The following is an 18,592-nucleotide window of genomic DNA, read 5'->3' as shown; positions in this document are numbered from 1 at the left end:
CGCCTGCCTCTTCCATGTGAAATGGTGGCGTCCGGGGTTCCTCTCCAGCACTCGCATGTCGCCTGCCTCTTCCATGTGAAATGGTGGCGTCCGGGGTTCCTCTCCGGCACTCGCATGTCGCCTGCCTCTTCATGTGAAATGGTGGCGTCCGGGGTTCCTCCTCAGCACTCACATGTCGCCTGCCTCTTCCATGTGAAATGGTGGCGTCCAGGGTTCCTCCTCAGCACTCGCATGTCGCCTGCCTCTTCATGTGAAATGGTGGCATCCCGGGTTCCTCTCCAGCACTCGCATGTCGCCTGCCTCTTCCATGTGAAATGTTGGCGTCCAGGATTCCTCCTCAGCACTCGCATGTCGCCTGCCTCTTCATGTGAAATGGTGGCGTCCGGGGTTCCTCTCCAGCACTCGCATGTCGCCTGCCTCTTCCATGTGAAATGGTGGCGTCCAGGGTTCCTCCTCAGCACTCGCATGTCGCCTGCCTCTTCATGTGAAATGGTGGCGTCCGGGGTTCCTCTCCAGCACTCGCATGTCGCCTGCCTCTTCCATGTGAAATGGTGGCGTCCGGGGTTCCTCTCCAGCACTCACATGTCGCCTGCCTCTTCGATGTGAAATGGTGGCGTCCGGGGTTCCTCTCCAGCACTCGCATGTCGCCTGCCTCTTCCAGGTGAAATGGTGGCGTCCAGGGTTCCTCCTCAGCACTCGCATGTCGCCTGCCTCTTCATGTGAAATGGTGGTGTCCGGGGTTCCTCTCCAGCACTCGCATGTCGCCTGCCTCTTCATGTGAAATGGTGGTGTCCGGGGTTCCTCCTCAGCACTCGCATGTCGCCTGCCTCTTCCATGTGAAATGGTGGCATCCGGGGTTCCTCCTCAGCACTCGCATGTCGCCTGCCTCTTCATGTGAAATGGTGGTGTCCGGGGTTCCTCCTCAGCACTCGCATGTCGCCTGCCTCTTCCATGTGAAATGGTGGCGTCCGGGGTTCCTCTCCAGCACTCGCATGTCGCCTGCCTCTTCATGTGAAATGGTGGCGTCCGCGGTTCCTCCACAGCACTCGCATGTCGCCTGCCTCTTCCATGTGAAATGGTGGCATCCAGGGTTCCTCCTCAGCACTCGCATGTCGCCTGCCTCTTCATGTGAAATGGTGGCGTCCAGGGTTCCTCCTCAGCACTCCCATGTCTCCTGCCTCTTCCATGTGAAATGGTGGCGTCCAGGGTTCCTCCTCAGCACTCGCATGTCGCCTGCCTCTTCATGTGAAATGGTGGCGTCTGGGGTTCCTCTCCAGCACTTGCATGTCGCCTGCCTCTTCATGTGAAATGGTGGCGTCCGGGGTTCCTCTCCAGCACTCGCATGTCGCCTGCCTCTTCCATGTGAAATAGTGGCGTCCGGGGTTCCTCTCCAGCACTCGCATGTCGCCTGCCTCTTCATGTGAAATGGTGGCGTCCGGGGTTCCTCCTCAGCACTCTCATGTCGCCTGCCTCTTCCATGTGAAATGGTGGCGTCCAGGGTTCCTCCTCAGCACTCGCATGTCGCCTGCCTCTTCATGTGAAATGGTGGCGTCCGGGGTTCCTCTCCAGCACTCGCATGTCGCCTGCCTCTTCCATGTGAAATAGTGGCGTCCAGGGTTCCTCCTCAGCACTCGTATGTCTCCTGCCTCTTCCATGTGAAATGGTGGCGTCCAGGGTTCCTCTCCAGCACTCGCATGTCGCCTGCCTCTTCCATGTGAAATGGTGGCGTCCAGGGTTCCTCCTCAGCACTCGCATGTCGCCTGCCTCTTCCATGTGAAATGGTGGCGTCCGGGGTTCCTCTCCAGCACTCGCATGTCGCCTGCCTCTTCCATGTGAAATGGTGGCGTCCGGGGTTCCTCTCCAGCACTTGCATGTCGCCTGCCTCTTCCATGTGAAATGGTGGCGTCCGGGGTTCCTCCTCAGCACTCGCATGTCGCCTGCCTCTTCATGTGAAATGGTGGTGTCCGGGGTTCCTCTCCAGCACTCGCATGTCGCCTGCCTCTTCCATGTGAAATGGTGGCATCCGGGGTTCCTCTCCAGCACTCGCATGTCGCCTGCCTCTTCCATGTGAAATGGTGGCGCCCGGGGTTCCTCCTCAGCACTCGCATGTCGCCTGCCTCTTCATGTGAAATGGTGGCGTCCGGGGTTCCTCTCCAGCACTCGCATGTCGCCTGCCTCTTCATGTGAAATGGTGGCGTCCGGGGTTCCTCTCCAGCACTCGCATGTCGCCTGCCTCTTCATGTGAAATGGTGGCGTCTGGGGTTCCTCTCCAGCACTCCCATGTCGCCTGCCTCTTCCATGTGAAATGGTGGCGTCCAGGGTTCCTCCTCAGCACTCGCATGTCGCCTGCCTCTTCATGTGAAATGGTGGCGTCTGGGGTTCCTCTCCAGCACTCGCATGTCGCCTGCCTCTTCATGTGAAATGGTGGCGTCCGGGGTTCCTCCTCAGCACTCGCATGTCGCCTGCCTCTTCATGTGAAATGGTGGCGTCCGGGGTTCCTCTCCAGCACTCGCATGTCGCCTGCCTCTTCCATGTGAAATAGTGGCGTCAAGCGTTCCTCCTCAGCACTCGCATGTCGCCTGCATCTTCCATGTGAAATGGTGGCGTCCGGGGTTCCTCTCCAGCACTCGCATGTCGCCTGCCTCTTCCATGTGAAATGGTGGGGTCCAGGGTTCCTCCTCAGCACTCGCATGTCGCCTGCCTCTTCCATGTGAAATAGTGGCGTCCAGGGTTCCTCCTCAGCACTCGCATGTCGCCTGCCTCTTCCATGTGAAATGGTGGCGTCCGGGGTTCCTCTCCAGCACTCGCATGTCGCCTGCCTCTTCCATGTGAAATGGTGGCGTCCGGGGTTCCTCTCCGGCACTCGCATGTCGCCTGCCTCTTCATGTGAAATGGTGGCGTCCGGGGTTCCTCCTCAGCACTCGCATGTCGCCTGCCTCTTCCATGTGAAATGGTGGAGTCCGGGGTTCCTCCTCAGCACTCGCATGTCGCCTGCCTCTTCATGTGAAATGGTGGCGTCCGGGGTTCCTCTCCAGCACTCGCATGTCGCCTGCCTCTTCATGTGAAATGGTGGCATCCAGGGTTCCTCCTCAGCACTCGCATGTCGCCTGCCTCTTCATGTGAAATGGTGGCGTCCAGGGTTCCTCCTCAGCACTCGCATGTCGCCTGCCTCTTCATGTGAAATGGTGGCGTCCAGGGTTCCTCCTCAGCACTCGCATGTCGCCTGCCTCTTCCATGTGAAATGGTGGCGTCCAGGGTTCCTCCTCAGCACTTGCATGTCGCCTGCCTCTTCATGTGAAATGGTGGCGTCTGGGGTTCCTCTCCAGCACTCGCATGTCGCCTGCCTCTTCATGTGAAATGGTGGCGTCCGGGGTTCCTCCTCAGCACTCGCATGTCGCCTGCCTCTTCATGTGAAATGGTGGCGTCCGGGGTTCCTCTCCAGCACTCGCATGTCGCCTCCCTCTTCATGTGAAATGGTGGCGTCCGGGGTTCGTCTCCAGCACTCGCATGTCGCCTGCCTCTTCCATGTGAAATGGTGGCGTCCGGGGTTCCTCTCCGGCACTCGCATGTCGCCTGCCTCTTCATGTGAAATGGTGGCGTCCGGGGTTCCTCCTCAGCACTCGCATGTCGCCTGCCTCTTCATGTGAAATGGTGGCGTCCAGGGTTCCTCCTCAGCACTCGCATGTCGCCTGCCTCTTCCATGTGAAATGGTGGCGTCCAGGGTTCCTCCTCAGCACTCGCATGTCGCCTGCCTCTTCATGTGAAATGGTGGCGTCCGGGGTTCCTCTCCAGCACTCGCATGTCGCCTGCCTCTTCCATGTGAAATGGTGGCGCCCAGGGTTCCTCCTCAGCACTCGCATGTCGCCTGCCTCTTCATGTGAAATGGTGGCGTCCGGGGTTCCTCTCCAGCACTCGCATGTCGCCTGCCTCTTCATGTGAAATGGTGGCGTCCGGGGTTCCTCTCCAGCACTCGCATGTCGCCTGCCTCTTCATGTGAAATGGTGGCGTCCGGGGTTCCTCTCCAGCACTCGCATGTCGCCTGCCTCTTCCATGTGAAATGGTGGCGTCCAGGGTTCCTCCTCAGCACTCGCATGTCGCCTGACTCTTCCATGTGAAATAGTGGCGTCCAGGGTTCCTCCTCAGCACTCGCATGTCGCCTGCCTCTTCATGTGAAATGGTGGCGTCCGGGGTTCCTCTCCAGCACTCGCATGTCGCCTGCCTCTTCCATGTGAAATAGTGGCGTCAAGGGTTCCTCCTCAGCACTCGCATGTCGCCTGCCTCTTCCATGTGAAATGGTGGCGTCCGGGGTTCCTCTCCAGCACTCGCATGTCACCTCCCTCTTCCATGTGAAATGGTGGCGTCCGGGGTTCCTCTCCAGCACTCGCATGTCGCCTGCCTCTTCCATGTGAAATGGTGGTGTCCGGGGTTCCTCTCCAGCACTCGCATGTCGCCTGCCTCTTCATGTGAAATGGTGGTGTCCGGGGTTCCTCCTCGGCACTCGCATGTCGCCTGCCTCTTCCATGTGAAATGGTGGCGTCCGGGGTTCCTCTCCAGCACTCGCATGTCGCCTGCCTCTTCATGTGAAATGGTGGCGTCCGGGGTTCCTCCACAGCACTCGCATGTCGCCTGCCTCTTCCATGTGAAATGGTGGCATCCAGGGTTCCTCCTCAGCACTCGCACGTCGCCTGCCTCTTCATGTGAAATGGTGGTGTCCGGGGTTCCTCCTCAGCACTCGCATGTCGCCTGCCTCTTCCATGTGAAATGGTGGCGTCCGGGGTTCCTCTCCAGCACTCGCATGTCGCCTGCCTCTTCATGTGAAATGGTGGCGTCTGGGGTTCCTCCACAGCACTCGCATGTCGCCTGCCTCTTCCATGTGAAATGGTGGCATCCAGGGTTCCTCCTCAGCACTCGCATGTCGCCTGCCTCTTCATGTGAAATGGTGGCGTCCAGGGTTCCTCCTCAGCACTCCCATGTCTCCTGCCTCTTCCATGTGAAATGGTGGCGTCCAGGGTTCCTCCTCAGCACTCGCATGTCGCCTGCCTCTTCATGTGAAATGGTGGCATCTGGGGTTCCTCTCCAGCACTTGCATGTCGCCTGCCTCTTCATGTGAAATGGTGGCGTCCGGGGTTCCTCTCCAGCACTCGCATGTCGCCTGCCTCTTCCATGTGAAATAGTGGCGTCCGGGGTTCCTCTCCAGCGCTCGCATGTCGCCTGCCTCTTCATGTGAAATGGTGGCGTCCGGGGTTCCTCCTCAGCACTCTCATGTCGCCTGCCTCTTCCATGTGAAATGGTGGCGTCCAGGGTTCCTCCTCAGCACTCGCATGTCGCCTGCCTCTTCATGTGAAATGGTGGCGTCCGGGGTTCCTCTCCAGCACTCGCATGTCGCCTGCCTCTTCCATGTGAAATAGTGGCGTCCAGGGTTCCTCCTCAGCACTCGTATGTCGCCTGCCTCTTCCATGTGAAATGGTTGCGTCCAGGGTTCCTCTCCAGCACTCGCATGTCGCCTGCCTCTTCCATGTGAAATGGTGGCGTCCAGGGTTCCTCCTCAGCACTCGCATGTCGCCTGCCTCTTCCATGTGAAATAGTGGCGTCCGGGGTTCCTCTCCAGCAGTCGCATGTCGCCTGCCTCTTCCATGTGAAATGGTGGCGTCCGGGGTTCCTCTCCAGCACTCGCATGTCGCCTGCCTCTTCCATGTGAAATGGTGGCGTCCAGGGTTCCTCCTCAGCACTCGCATGTCGCCTGCCTCTTCATGTGAAATGGTGGCGTCCGGGGTTCCTCTCTAGCACTCGCATGTCGCCTGCCTCTTCCATGTGAAATGGTGGCGTCCGGGGTTCCTCTCCAGCACTCGCATGTCGCCTGCCTCTTCATGTGAAATGGTGGCGTCCGGGGTTCCTCCTCAGCACTCGTATGTCGCCTGCCTCTTCATGTGAAATGGTGGTGTCCGGGGTTCCTCCACAGCACTCGCATGTCGCCTGCCTCTTCTTGTGAAATGGTGGCGTCCAGGGTTCCTCCTCAGCACTCGCATGTCGCCTGCCTCTTCATGTGAAATGGTGGCGTCCGGGGTTCCTCTCCAGCACTCGCATGTCGCCTGCCTCTTCCATGTGAAATGGTGGCGTCCATGGTTCCTCTCCAGCACTCGCATGTCGCCTGCCTCTTCCATGTGAAATAGTGGCGTCAAGGGTTCCTCCTCAGCACTCGTATGTCGCCTGCCTCTTCCATGTGAAATAGTGGCGTCCGGGGTTCCTCTCCAGCACTCGCATGTCGCCTGCCTCTTCCATGTGAAATGGTGGCGTCCGGGGTTCCTCTCCAGCACTCGCATGTCGCCTGCCTCTTCCATGTGAAATGGTGGCGTCCAGGGTTCCTCCTCAGCACTCGCATGTCGCCTGCCTCTTCATGTGAAATAGTGGCGTCCAGGGTTCCTCCTCAGCACTCGCATGTCGCCTGCCTCTTCCATGTGAAATGGTGGCGTCCGGGGTTCCTCTCCAGCACTCGCATGTCGCCTGCCTCTTCCATGTGAAATGGTGGCGTCCGGGGTTCCTCTCCGGCACTCGCATGTCGCCTGCCTCTTCATGTGAAATGGTGGCGTCCGGGGTTCCTCCTCAGCACTCGCATGTCGCCTGCCTCTTCATGTGAAATGGTGGCGTCCGGGGTTCCTCTCCAGCACTCGCATGTCGCCTGCCTCTTCATGTGAAATGGTGGCGTCCGGGGTTCCTCTCCAGCACTCGCATGTCGCCTGCCTCTTCCATGTGAAATGGTGGCGTCCGGGGTTCCTCCTCAGCACTCGCATGTCGCCTGCCTCTTCATGTGAAATGGTGGCGTCTGGGGTTCCTCTCCAGCACTCCCATGTCGCCTGCCTCTTCATGTGAAATGGTGGCATCCGGGGTTCCTCTCCAGCACTCGCATGTCGCCTGCCTCTTCCATGTGAAATGGTGGCGTCCGGGGTTCCTCTCCAGCACTCGCATGTCGCCTGCCTCTTCATGTGAAATGGTGGCGTCCGGGGTTCCTCCTCAGCACTCGCATGTCGCCTGCCTCTTCCATGTGAAATAGTGGCGTCCAGGGTTCCTCCTCAGCACTCGCATGTCGCCTGCCTCTTCCATGTGAAATGGTGGCGTCCGGGGTTCCTCTCCAGCACTCGCATGTCGCCTGCCTCTTCCATGTGAAATGGTGGCGTCCGGGGTTCCTCTCCGGCACTCGCATGTCGCCTGCCTCTTCCATGTGAAATGGTGGCGTCCAGGGTTCCTCCTCAGCACTCGCATGTCGCCTGCCTCTTCCATGTGAAATAGTGGCGTCCGGGGTTCCTCTCCAGCACTCGCATGTCGCCTGCCTCTTCCATGTGTAATGGTGGCGTCCGGGGTTCCTCTCCAGCACTTGCATGTCGCCTGCCTCTTCCATGTGAAATGGTGGCGTCCAGGGTTCCTCCTCAGCACTCGCATGTCGCCTGCCTCTTCATGTGAAATGGTGGCGTCCGGGGTTCCTCTCTAGCACTCGCATGTCGCCTGCCTCTTCCATGTGAAATGGTGGCGTCCGGGGTTCCTCTCCAGCACTCGCATGTCGCCTGCCTCTTCATGTGAAATGGTGGCGTCCGGGGTTCCTCCTCAGCACTCGCATGTCGCCTGCCTCTTCATGTGAAATGGTGGTGTCCGGGGTTCCTCCACGGCACTCGCATGTCGCCTGCCTCTTCATGTGAAATGGTGGCGTCTGGGGTTCCTCTCCAGCACTCCCATGTCGCCTGCCTCTTCATGTGAAATGGTGGCGTCCGGGGTTCCTCTCCAGCACTCGCATGTCGCCTGCCTCTTCCATGTGAAATGGTGGCGTCCGGGGTTCCTCTCCAGCACTCGCATGTCGCCTGCCTCTTCATGTGAAATGGTGGCGTCCGGGGTTCCTCCTCAGCACTCGCATGTCGCCTGCCTCTTCCATGTGAAATAGTGGCGTCCAGGGTTCCTCCTCAGCACTCGCATGTCGCCTGCCTCTTCCATGTGAAATGGTGGCGTCCGGGGTTCCTCTCCGGCACTCGCATGTCGCCTGCCTCTTCATGTGAAATGGTGGCGTCCGGGGTTCCTCCTCAGCACTCGCATGTCGCCTGCCTCTTCCATGTGAAATGGTGGCGTCCAGGGTTCCTCCTCAGCACTCGCATGTCTCCTGCCTCTTCATGTGAAATGGTGGCATCCCGGGTTCCTCTCCAGCACTCGCATGTCGCCTGCCTCTTCCATGTGAAATCTTGGCGTCCAGGATTCCTCCTCAGCACTCGCATGTCGCCTGCCTCTTCATGTGAAATGGTGGCGTCCGCGGTTCCTCCACAGCACTCGTATGTCGCCTGCCTCTTCCATGTGAAATGGTGGCGTCCAGGGTTCCTCCTCAGCACTCGCATGTCGCCTGCCTCTTCCATGTGAAATGGTGGCTTCCGGGGTTCCTCTCCAGCACTCGCATGTCGCCTGCCTCTTCCATGTGAAATGGTGGCGTCCGGGGTTCCTCTCCAGCACTCGCATGTCGCCTGCCTCTTCCATGTGAAATGGTGGCGTCCAGGGTTCCTCCTCAGCACTCGCATGTCGCCTGCCTCTTCATGTGAAATGGTGGTGTCCGGGGTTCCTCTCCAGCACTCGCATGTCGACTGCCTCTTCCATGTGAAATGGTGGCATCCGGGGTTCCTCTCCAGCACTCGCATGTCGCCTGCCTCTTCATGTGAAATGGTGGCGTCCGGGGTTCCTCTCCAGCACTCGCATGTCGCCTGCCTCTTCCATGTGAAATGGTGGCGTCCGGGGTTCCTCTCCAGCACTCGCATGTCGCCTGCCTCTTCATGTGAAATGGTGGCGTCCGGGGTTCCTCTCCAGCACTCGCATGTCGCCTGCCTCTTCCATGTGAAATGGTGGCGTCCGGAGTTCCTCTTCAGCACTCGCATGTCGCCTGCCTCTTCATGTGAAATGGTGCGGTCCGGGGCTCCTCCTCAGCACTCGCATGTCGCCTGCCTCTTCATGTGAAATGGTGGCGTCCAGGGTTCCTCCACAACACTCGCATGTCGCCTGCCTCTTCCATGTGAAATGGTGGCGTCCAGGGTTCCTCCTCAGCACTCGCATGTCGCCTGCCTCTTCATGTGAAATAGTGGCGTCCGGGGTTCCTCTCCAGCACTCGCATGTCGCCTGCCTCTTCCATGTGAAATGGTGGCGTCCGGGGTTCCTCTCCAGCACTCGCATGTCGCCTGCCTCTTCCATGTGAAATGGTGGCGTCCAGGGTTCCTCCTCAGCACTCGCATGTCGCCTGCCTCTTCATGTGAAATGGTGGCGTCCGGGGTTCCTCTCTAGCACTCGCATGTCGCCTGCCTCTTCCATGTGAAATGGTGGCGTCCGGGGTTCCTCTCCAGCACTCGCATGTCGCCTGCCTCTTCATGTGAAATGGTGGCGTCCGGGGTTCCTCCTCAGCACTCGCATGTCGCCTGCCTCTTCATGTGAAATGGTGGCGTCCAGGGTTCCTCCTCAGCACTCCCATGTCGCCTGCCTCTTCATGTGAAATGGTGGCGTCCAGGGTTCCTCCTCAGCACTCGCATGTCGCCTGCCTCTTCCATGTGAAATGGTGGCGTCCATGGTTCCTCTCCAGCACTCGCATGTCGCCTGCCTCTTCATGTGAAATGGTGGCGTCCGGGGTTCCTCTCCAGCACTCTCATGTCGCCTGCCTCTTCCATGTGAAATAGTGGCGTCCAGGGTTCCTCCTCAGCACTCGCATATCACCTGCCTCTTCCATGTGAAATGGTGGCGTCCGGGGTTCCTCTCCAGCACTCGCATGGTGCCTGCCTTTTCCATGTGAAATGGTGGCGTCCGGGGTTCCTCCTCAGCACTCGCATGTCGCCTCCCTCTTCCTCATGTGCCGTCCTGGGGATGCTGTGTTTCCCCACCTGCAGGGATGGGGGAAAACAATGCTCCCTCTGAGGCAACGAAGGATGAAAACCTTAGGACAACTAGAAAGCTCCTTCCCACAGTGTCCCCTCATTAGTGACAGCTGGTTCTCTTCGGGTATGGGCTGCTCTCTCCCAGAAAATCACCTAACACCTTCTGCTACCGCAAGAGCTGTACTGATTCTGTTAGCAGTCATTCTCCCAGTTGCTTATGTAGCATTTCAGGTTGAGTTTAAGGAAGGGGGTCAGACTCCCAAGCTAGTGTGCTGTCTTTTCCAGAAGTCTCAGTACACGAGTCAAAGTTTACACTGATCTGATTCAAATGTGGCCGTAGGCCCACCTAAATAAAGAACAAGTGATGACTTCATGTGAAAAAGTTCCAGGAAATAAAGCACTCCACAACCTGGAGGGAAACTTATTTATCCCCAAATCCACTGAAAACTGGACCAGGAAGAACTCCACTTGGAAAAATCTAAAATGGCCTATCAATTCCTGGCCTCTGTTATTCCAGATTTTGAAAGCAAAAACATTTGTAATTTTTCCCAAATTATAAATAGAGAATACTATTGCAGCCCCTCAAAAAAAAAAAAAATCACGCCTTTACCATCAAGATAGTAGAAATAAATTACTGGCAATTGAAGACAGCAGTAATAATCACTAAGTCATCAGCAAGTTTTATACTTTTACTAATCAGTTTCAACCAATGTTTATGTGCCAGGCAGATGTTTTGTACTGAGTATGTTTTCCTACATATTTGTTGGCAGTCAGCCTGAGAAGCGTCCTCAGAGATAAGGAAAATTGAAAAGAAACTGTGACTTGTTCAAGATCACCCAGGTAGTAAATGCTGGAGACGTTGAAGTCCAGGTGGAAGTCTCTTTCATCCTGACTCACTTGCATTTTTTTATGGAAATGGCTGTGAGATACACATCATAAGATCAGCAAAATTGCTCAGGAAATATTTACATCTGTCAAAAAGCTGTCTTGGATGCACACCTGGAATCCATGTGTTTTGGCTTGATTTTTTATTCATTTCTTTTTTTGTCCTGAAAGCTTTTTTTTAACCTGCATATCATTGCAGAAACATATTGTTACCTCTCTGGGAGTAAATGTGTGGTTTCAGGATGAGTTCATACAAAGGGAGAATCTGGGCTCTGTGGTTTCTCTTGTGTGGGCATTCTTCAGGAATCTTTTATTTAAGAAATAAATAAAAGCCTTTTCTATAGTTTAGATATTGGAACAGGAACTAGGGCGAATCCAGTTAGTAGCTTTCAATGAATTATTTTAGCAAAACTTAACTGAGCTTAGAATTAAAATCTTTTATTAGCCCAGTTTTCAACTATTATATCCGATTTTTCTTAGTGTATCCTAGTTATAGTCAGGTAATAAATGAGTTATCAGAGTAAAGCCAAGTGAAAGTCTCATAATAACATTAATGAATCAAAATAGAAAAATATACAATTACATATTTTGCATATTCAAACATTAAGGTGGGAGTTTTTCATCTGAAACAAAAATGTACCTCAGAAAAGAGTAATTGTCTTCCATTTGTGATCTTACAAAATGATTTACCTTAAAGGATGCCATCTTAGATACTTTATTATGAACAACAAAATATGGCTTATGAAAGACAAATCCTGAAATGACCTCAGTCTTTGCTAGTTGATTGTTGCTTATAAAAGTCACCCTTCAGAATTCGCTAAACAGATATAATCATTATAATCATTATTCCTCCAGATATTTAACCTCACACATGTAAGTGAATGTTGCAAACAGGCATGTAAAAAGATGAATGAAAAAGTAATTTTTAATGTTGTGTGAATGGGCAGCTACAGCATGGGATACAATTTCCAATGACATCACATATATTATTTAAAAAACTACTTCTCAAAAAAATCAATGGATTATGACGTGGGAAAAATGTCATAGGAGAGAGCTCAGAAAGTAGTTCTGGTGATGATGAAGATCCCCTATTTAGAGCCACACATCATGAGCCAAACTAAATTGTTTTACCAAAGTGAGAAGTCGAAAAAAATACTGTTCAAATGTTATCTTAGATAATAAAGGAATTTTAAATTATGGATACAACTAAATTTATTAAATATTAAATTAATTAACTGTATTGATTATTTTATCTAAATCTCAATATTCATATGTTCAAGATGGCCCAAAAAAAGAAAAAAACTTCAGGAACTTCTCATCAAGAGTGTTTTATATTCGAGGTCAACTAATATTTGGGCATCTGCACTAAATCTCCAGATTTCTGTCATATCTCAAGTCATGCAGCACAGCCCAGCAGAAGAAGCCATCATGCCATCTGCCCCAGAAGCAGTAGTTAGTTACCCCGAGAGATCAGAAAGGAAGATAAACACAATCAGATGGAGAGCATGCTGCAGGCTTCACATCAAAACTTTTGTTGGCTTTTGCCCATTCAATGAGAACACTTGGACACAGGAAGGGGAACATCACACACCGGGGCCTGTTGTGGGGTGGGGGGAGGGGGGAGGGATAGCACTAGGAGAAATACCTAATGTAAATGACGAGTTAATGGGTGCAGCACACCAACATGGCACATGTATACATATGTAACAAACCTGCACGTTGTGCACATGTACCCTAGAACTTAAAGTATAATAAAAAAAACTATATATATATATATATATAAATTAAAAAATAAAAAAACCTTTTGTTGGTTCACACGACTGAACCAATGTATTCGCCATGTTAATAGTTGAGTTCTAAATAAGATTATCTTAATTAAATTCAAATAAATTAAAAGAGAATGAACATCAAACCAGTGGCCATGCAAAGTATGTTGTTGTTTCTCACTGGGTATGTAAATGTCCTCAAGAGCAAAAAAGATCATTAGACAACAAGATCCTACCCACTTAGGAAAAACAAGAGAATGTAGATTAGAAGGTAGGTAGGAAATCTCACCTTTCCCCCAAAGTCAGCAACTGACAGAATGAAGATGTGATTCACAAGTGTGATCTGCAACATGTTATAAAAAGGAAATCCATCATCAGGGCTGTTAGAAGAGCACTGATGACAAAAACATCACTAAAACTGCCTGCTAATATTTAATGGCCAATGAAATAAAGTCTAAAATCAACTTTATAAAATTAGATCCACCATCACAACTTGATCCGACTCCATTCAACCTTTCCAGTTTTTCTCAGCAAAATTCACATCTTATCTTGGACCAGGGTTTCCGGTTTTGTTTTGCTTTTTTCTAGATGGAGTTTCGCTCTTGTTGCCCAGGCTGGAGTGCAATGGCATGATCTCGGCTCACCGCAACCTCCGCCGCTGGGGTTCAAGCAATTCTCCTGCCTCAGACTCCTGAGCAGCTGTGATTACAGTCATGTGCCACCACGCCCGGCTAATTTTGTATATTTAGTAGAGATGGGTTTGCTCCATGTTGGTCAGGCTGGTCTCAAACTCCTGACCTCAGGTGATCCACCCGCCTCGGCCTCCCAAAGTGCTGGGATTACAGGCATGAGCCACTGCGTCTGGCCTTAGACCAGGGTTTCTTAACTATGACACTATTGACATTGTGGGCCCAATAATTCTTAAATGTTGGGGCTGTCTTGTGCCTTGTAGGATATTTAGCTGCATGGCTGGCCTCTCCCCACTACATGCCAGTAGCATCCCCCTCCTCAGTTGTGACAACCCCAGTTATCTCTAGCTACCAATAAATGTCCTCTGGGAAGTAAAATCACACTTGGCTGAGAATTGACCTAGACATTACATGTCAATATGAAAATGTCAGTTATGGCTGCTACTATATTTTCTGGCTAATGAATTCTGAATAAGAAAAGTATGGGATGTGGGAAGAGAAGGCTGGCATGAGTAAGGTTAGGGGTGGGAGTGAAGATGGTAGAGGCAATTATAGACTGCCTCTCCTTCTCCCTTCTCCCTTATGGTCTTGTAAAGCCTTCTGCAGAAAGAGAACCTGAGTTAGATTTAGTTCTAAGCAACAAACTAGTTCACCCCAACGCTGGGTACACCTGGGTCCTGGCATCTTCCTACATTTGGCCTCACGATGTTTCTGGATGGCTGCATCCTAAATGTTACCCAAGAGCTCTGGAGTCCACTGTGGAAGCAGGGCTCAGCTGCCCTTCCGTCCATCTGTTCTGCTAACCGTGGAAACTTGTTCCCACCCTCGAAGGTGTCCTGACAAACATCTCTAAACAGGAAATAATCACTGCTGCATCTGCCCTTTCTTCACGTACATGCCCACAATTATTAAGGCCTCCTTCTATGATCTGATGCCTCTCAAATACTCATACTCATGCCCAGCAATCAGAAAACGACCCTCCTTAGGAAAGGGAATTGCAACATAGGTCCCATGTTTGGTGACAGTGGACTTCACTTGTTATTTATCTAGGTGTTAAAGAAACAGAATTGATGTCACGTGGACTTTATTAGTTCTGCTGGCCTTTTCTTTTCCAAGTTCACAAAATTGAAAGCTGTTTAAGTAAAATCAAGTGGTCTGAGCTAACCTCCCACTTCCCTCTCCATCTGTGGAGTATTTGCTTCCAGATATACTCAGGCTGTTCCAATTTCTGTGGGCTGACATTGGCCCAGTTCACCGACTGCGGTGTCAAACACACAGAAGCAAGCAGCACTTGTAGTTGTCTCTTTGATAGGAGAGACCCGACTTTTCCCCAGCTCTCCATTTTAAGAGAGGATTTCTTGTCTACATCTTTTCCCTCTTTCATCGGCAACATACATCTAAGAAAGTGCCAGTTCCTATGTTTCTGCTGCCTATCTTTTTCTGAAAGTCACTAATGTTAAATTTGTAAATTATAATTTTGCAAGCAAGGTAGGGTGAAGGCTTGACAGCAAACGTGGCTTCCTTCTTTCTGCCTCTCTTCCCTTTTTCAGTGAAGAACACATCTGATTACCAGGTCTTTGAAGCCAGAGCCATGCCTTCCTTCTCTGTCTCCCCCGCAATCCCCAGTTCACTGTGGTGGACATAATAAAAATGCAATATGACTGTTTTGGATTGAGCTGAATTTTATTTCTAAAGGGAAGTTTGGCTGGTCCTATTCTTATTCTCCCAGAGAGGTCTTCCTGCAATCGGCTCCACTGCTGAACATGCAGTGGCTGATTGGTTCCGTCGTGAGGGCTGCTGAGTGGCTGGTGGTTTTCAAAAGCGGACATTTGTCCCTCAGGGCCAGAGCCGAATCACCACACAAGTTCACAGACTCCTCCCGGGCACCGAGGCGCTGACTCTGAGTCATGATCAACGTGAGCAGCATTCTTTCTGGTAATTTAGTGGCAAAGAGGACAAATCCCACATTTGTCTTCTTATTGGCCAATGCCCCTTGGACTTTGGGTGTTCTCCATATCCTTCTGTGATCCTAACAACACTGTATCATTTTTTCAGATGGCTAGAAAGTGACAGGAACAGCAAGAACTGCCTTTCCCGGTGACCCAAATTTGCTACCACTATAGAGACCGGTGAAGTCCAGCACCTGCTACACGAAGCAGTCACAGCTGTTCCGCATCCAGGAAAACCCCCAGTGATGACACAGCTGAAATTTTACTGTACTTGAAGACAGTCAAAGATTTTTGTGTTTGTCTTCTCTCATTAACTCAGCCTTTGAGCATCTCTCCACTTTTATTTTGATATACCAACTTCATTATTTATATGAACATTGCATTATGCTTTTTAGCCATTAAACCCATTATTATAAACCCACACAAAAATCCTATATGACAGACTGGAATTATGTGTATTTCAGAGAAGACAGAATGCATGCAAGCCTTTTAAGGATTTTTAAAAACACACAAACCAGGTAGAAAGGCAATTTCATGGGCTAGAATTTCATAACTCAGTAAATATGAATGTACGGGGTGCAGCATTCTATGAGGTATTTTGGTACCAAAAAATGATGTATAAGCCAAGTTCCTTCCTGAAGATCCCTGATGCTGATTCTGTACAGATTCTATAATGTTGCATTTATTTAACTCTCCTATCACATCCCAAATTGACTCACAAGGGATCCATTCATTCACTGCCACCAGAAAGAGCACCCTGTTGTGGGACTGGACAGCAACAGGTCTTACTTACATACTGCTGGTGGGAGTGTGGACTCACACAAGTCTTTTTAGAAACAATTTAGCATTATCTAAGAAACTTGATGACCCACGTACACGGTGGCCCAAATATTCCACTCCTGGGAATATTTTCTTGAGAGAGATCCCCAAGTGCTCCAAGGAGACATGTCCAAAGTGTTTATAGCTGCATTATTTTTAATAGCAAAAAAAAAAAAATGGAAACAACACAAATGTCCATTGGCAAAGGGAATGGATAATTTGATCATGTGTTAAAAAGAACCTTTGCCCAGCTATGTTCATGGGCAAACAGATTTGACTGTTGCCTAACTCTGAGCCTGCTTGAGCCTCTACCACTCATCCTACACCTTGTAGAGAACTGGGCCAGCTTTAATGCCCACGCAGAAGACATTAGGCTGCAATGATGATCCTTGCCAAGAGCGACTTCTCAATTCCTTATCACAGTCAATCCAAAAGTGCCTTTTACAATCTCACCGTATTTGGAAGGAGCTTTCAGAGAGACTCACTGAACTTACTCCAGGGTATTGCTGCTCTAAAAATTAAACTCTGACTTGGCATATACTGTTCTTGGTCCTTGGTTACTCTTCAAGAGGTATTATGTTAAATCAATGAATATTATATAGCAGTGCAAATAAATGAACTTCAGAACACATAATATTATCTTGCTTAGGGGTTGTATATAAACTGATTAACAGAAAATAAAGAATGAGCAATGCTAGTCAGCCCTCAGATTTTCGGCCATCTCAGGCCAGGCCAGACATGTGAGTGAAGGAGTTTTCTGGGACATTCCAGTTTCAGTTTCCTCAATGTAAAACCAGGACACTAATCATTATAATATCAGACTATTATGAAGACAAAAAAATACTGTATGTAAATACCCTAGAAAAATATGTTGCACATAGTTGGCTGCTCAATAAATGACAGGTAAGTGGCAAATGATGAGAAACCAAAGGCTCATGTATTCAGGGAATTTCACATGTTGGGTCTTATTTTTCAAATTGTGATCAGCCTGTCTGGATCAAAAAAACCTGAGGTGCTTCTTAACAATGCAGTGCTGGGCCTCACCAAAAACCTACATTTAGAACCTCTCCAGGTAGTGCCAGGAGGTATGCATTTTAACACACAATCCAGGGGATTCTTCGACATAAAAAACTTAAGAACCACAAGCTTCGAGATTCAAATCCAGGCATGTATGAAGTAGCCTGAGAGAGGATATAAACAGACTGGAATGACATTTTTCTCAGTAATAGAAAAAACAGTCTTAAAATTTGTTTGGAATCAAAAAGGAGCCCAAATAGCCAAAGCAATCCTGAGCAAAAAGAACAAAGCTGGAAGCATCACCCTGCCTGGCTTCAAAATATGCTATAAGGCTACTGCAAACAAAACAGCATGGTATTGGTATAAAAAGACACATAGACCAGTGGAACAGAATAGAGAACCCAGAACTAAATCCATGTACTTATAGCCAACTGACTTTTGAAAAAAGGCATCAAGAATATATGCTGGGGAAAGGACATTCTGTCCAACAAATGGTGCTGGAAAAACTGGACATTCATATGCAGAAGAATGAAACTAGACCCCTATCTCTCACCATATGCAAAAATCAACTCAAAATGAATTAAAAACTTAAATATAAGACCCAACAGGATGAAACTACTAGAAGAAAATACAGGAGAAACACTCAAGGACCTTGATTTAGGCAAAGATTTTATGGCTAAGACCTTAAAAGTACAGGAAACAAAAAATAGACAAACGAAACTATGTTAAACTAAACTTCTGCACAACAAAGGAAACTACCAACAGAGTGAAGACACAACCTCTTGAGTGGAAGAAAATATATGCAAACTATTCATCTGACAAAGGTCTGATATCCAAAATATACAAGAAACTCAAATTACTCAACAACAAAACAACAACAAATAATCCCACTAAAAATGGGCAAGGGATCTAAACAGACATTTCTTTAAAGAAGACATACAAATGACAAACAGGTATATGAAAAAATGCTCAAAATCACTAGTCACCAGGAAAATGCAAATCAAAGCCGCAATGAGGATTGTCTTGCCCCAGTAAGATTGGCTACTAACAGGAAGCCAAAAAATAGATACCGGCAAGGATGCTGTTGGTGGGATTGTAAATTAGTACAGTCATTATGTAAAATGGAGATTTCTCAAAAAAAAACTGAAAGTAAAACTACGATACAATATAGCAATTTCATTAGTGGGTAATTTATCCAAAGGAAAGGAAATCAGTATAAGAGAGAGATACCTGCACCCCCATGCTTATTGCCGCATTATTCACAATAGCAAAGACATGGAATCAACCTAAGTATCCATCAACGAACAAGTGGATAAAGAAAATGGAGTATACATACACAATTAAATATTATTCAGCCATAATAAAGAATGAAATCCTGTCATTTTCAGCACCATGGGTGGAACTGGAGGTCATTATGTTCAGAGAAATAGGCCAGGCACAGAAAGACAAATACCACATGTTCTTACTTATATATGGGAGCAAAAAAAGATGATCTCATGGAGGTGGAGAGTGGAATGACACAAGAAGCTGGGAAAGGGGGTGGCAGGAGAGATGAAGGGAGGCTGGTTAAGGGGTACAAACATACAGTT

General features: G+C 50.1%; 1 long non-coding RNA gene across 6 annotated transcripts in view, besides 2 other annotated features; it reads right to left on the bottom strand.

Moving 5' to 3' along the window:
- Positions 1-18,592, bottom strand: part of LOC102723906 (uncharacterized) — a 220,555-nt gene that overhangs the window by 92,058 nt on the left and 109,905 nt on the right. The window lies entirely within an intron of this gene.
- Positions 4,005-5,204: an enhancer, noted in NCBI's record as "MED14-independent group 3 enhancer chr4:187885109-187886308 (GRCh37/hg19 assembly coordinates)". NCBI's record gives its function as "activates an origin of replication core promoter dependent on BRD2, BRD4, P300/CBP and CDK7 cofactors, and independent of MED14, by STARR-seq in HCT116 cells {active_cell/tissue: HCT116}" and the evidence as "EXISTENCE:reporter gene assay evidence [ECO:0000049][PMID:35650434]".
- Positions 8,927-10,126: an enhancer, noted in NCBI's record as "CDK7 strongly-dependent group 2 enhancer chr4:187880187-187881386 (GRCh37/hg19 assembly coordinates)". NCBI's record gives its function as "activates an origin of replication core promoter dependent on BRD2, BRD4, P300/CBP, MED14 and CDK7 cofactors, with strong dependence on CDK7, by STARR-seq in HCT116 cells {active_cell/tissue: HCT116}" and the evidence as "EXISTENCE:reporter gene assay evidence [ECO:0000049][PMID:35650434]".

This window comes from Homo sapiens, chromosome 4, assembly GCF_000001405.40.
Source record: "Homo sapiens chromosome 4, GRCh38.p14 Primary Assembly".
NCBI classification, from domain to species: Eukaryota; Metazoa; Chordata; class Mammalia; order Primates; family Hominidae; genus Homo; species Homo sapiens.
Note: the sequence above shows the minus strand (reverse complement) of the source record. Positions and strands in the feature narration are given on the sequence as shown.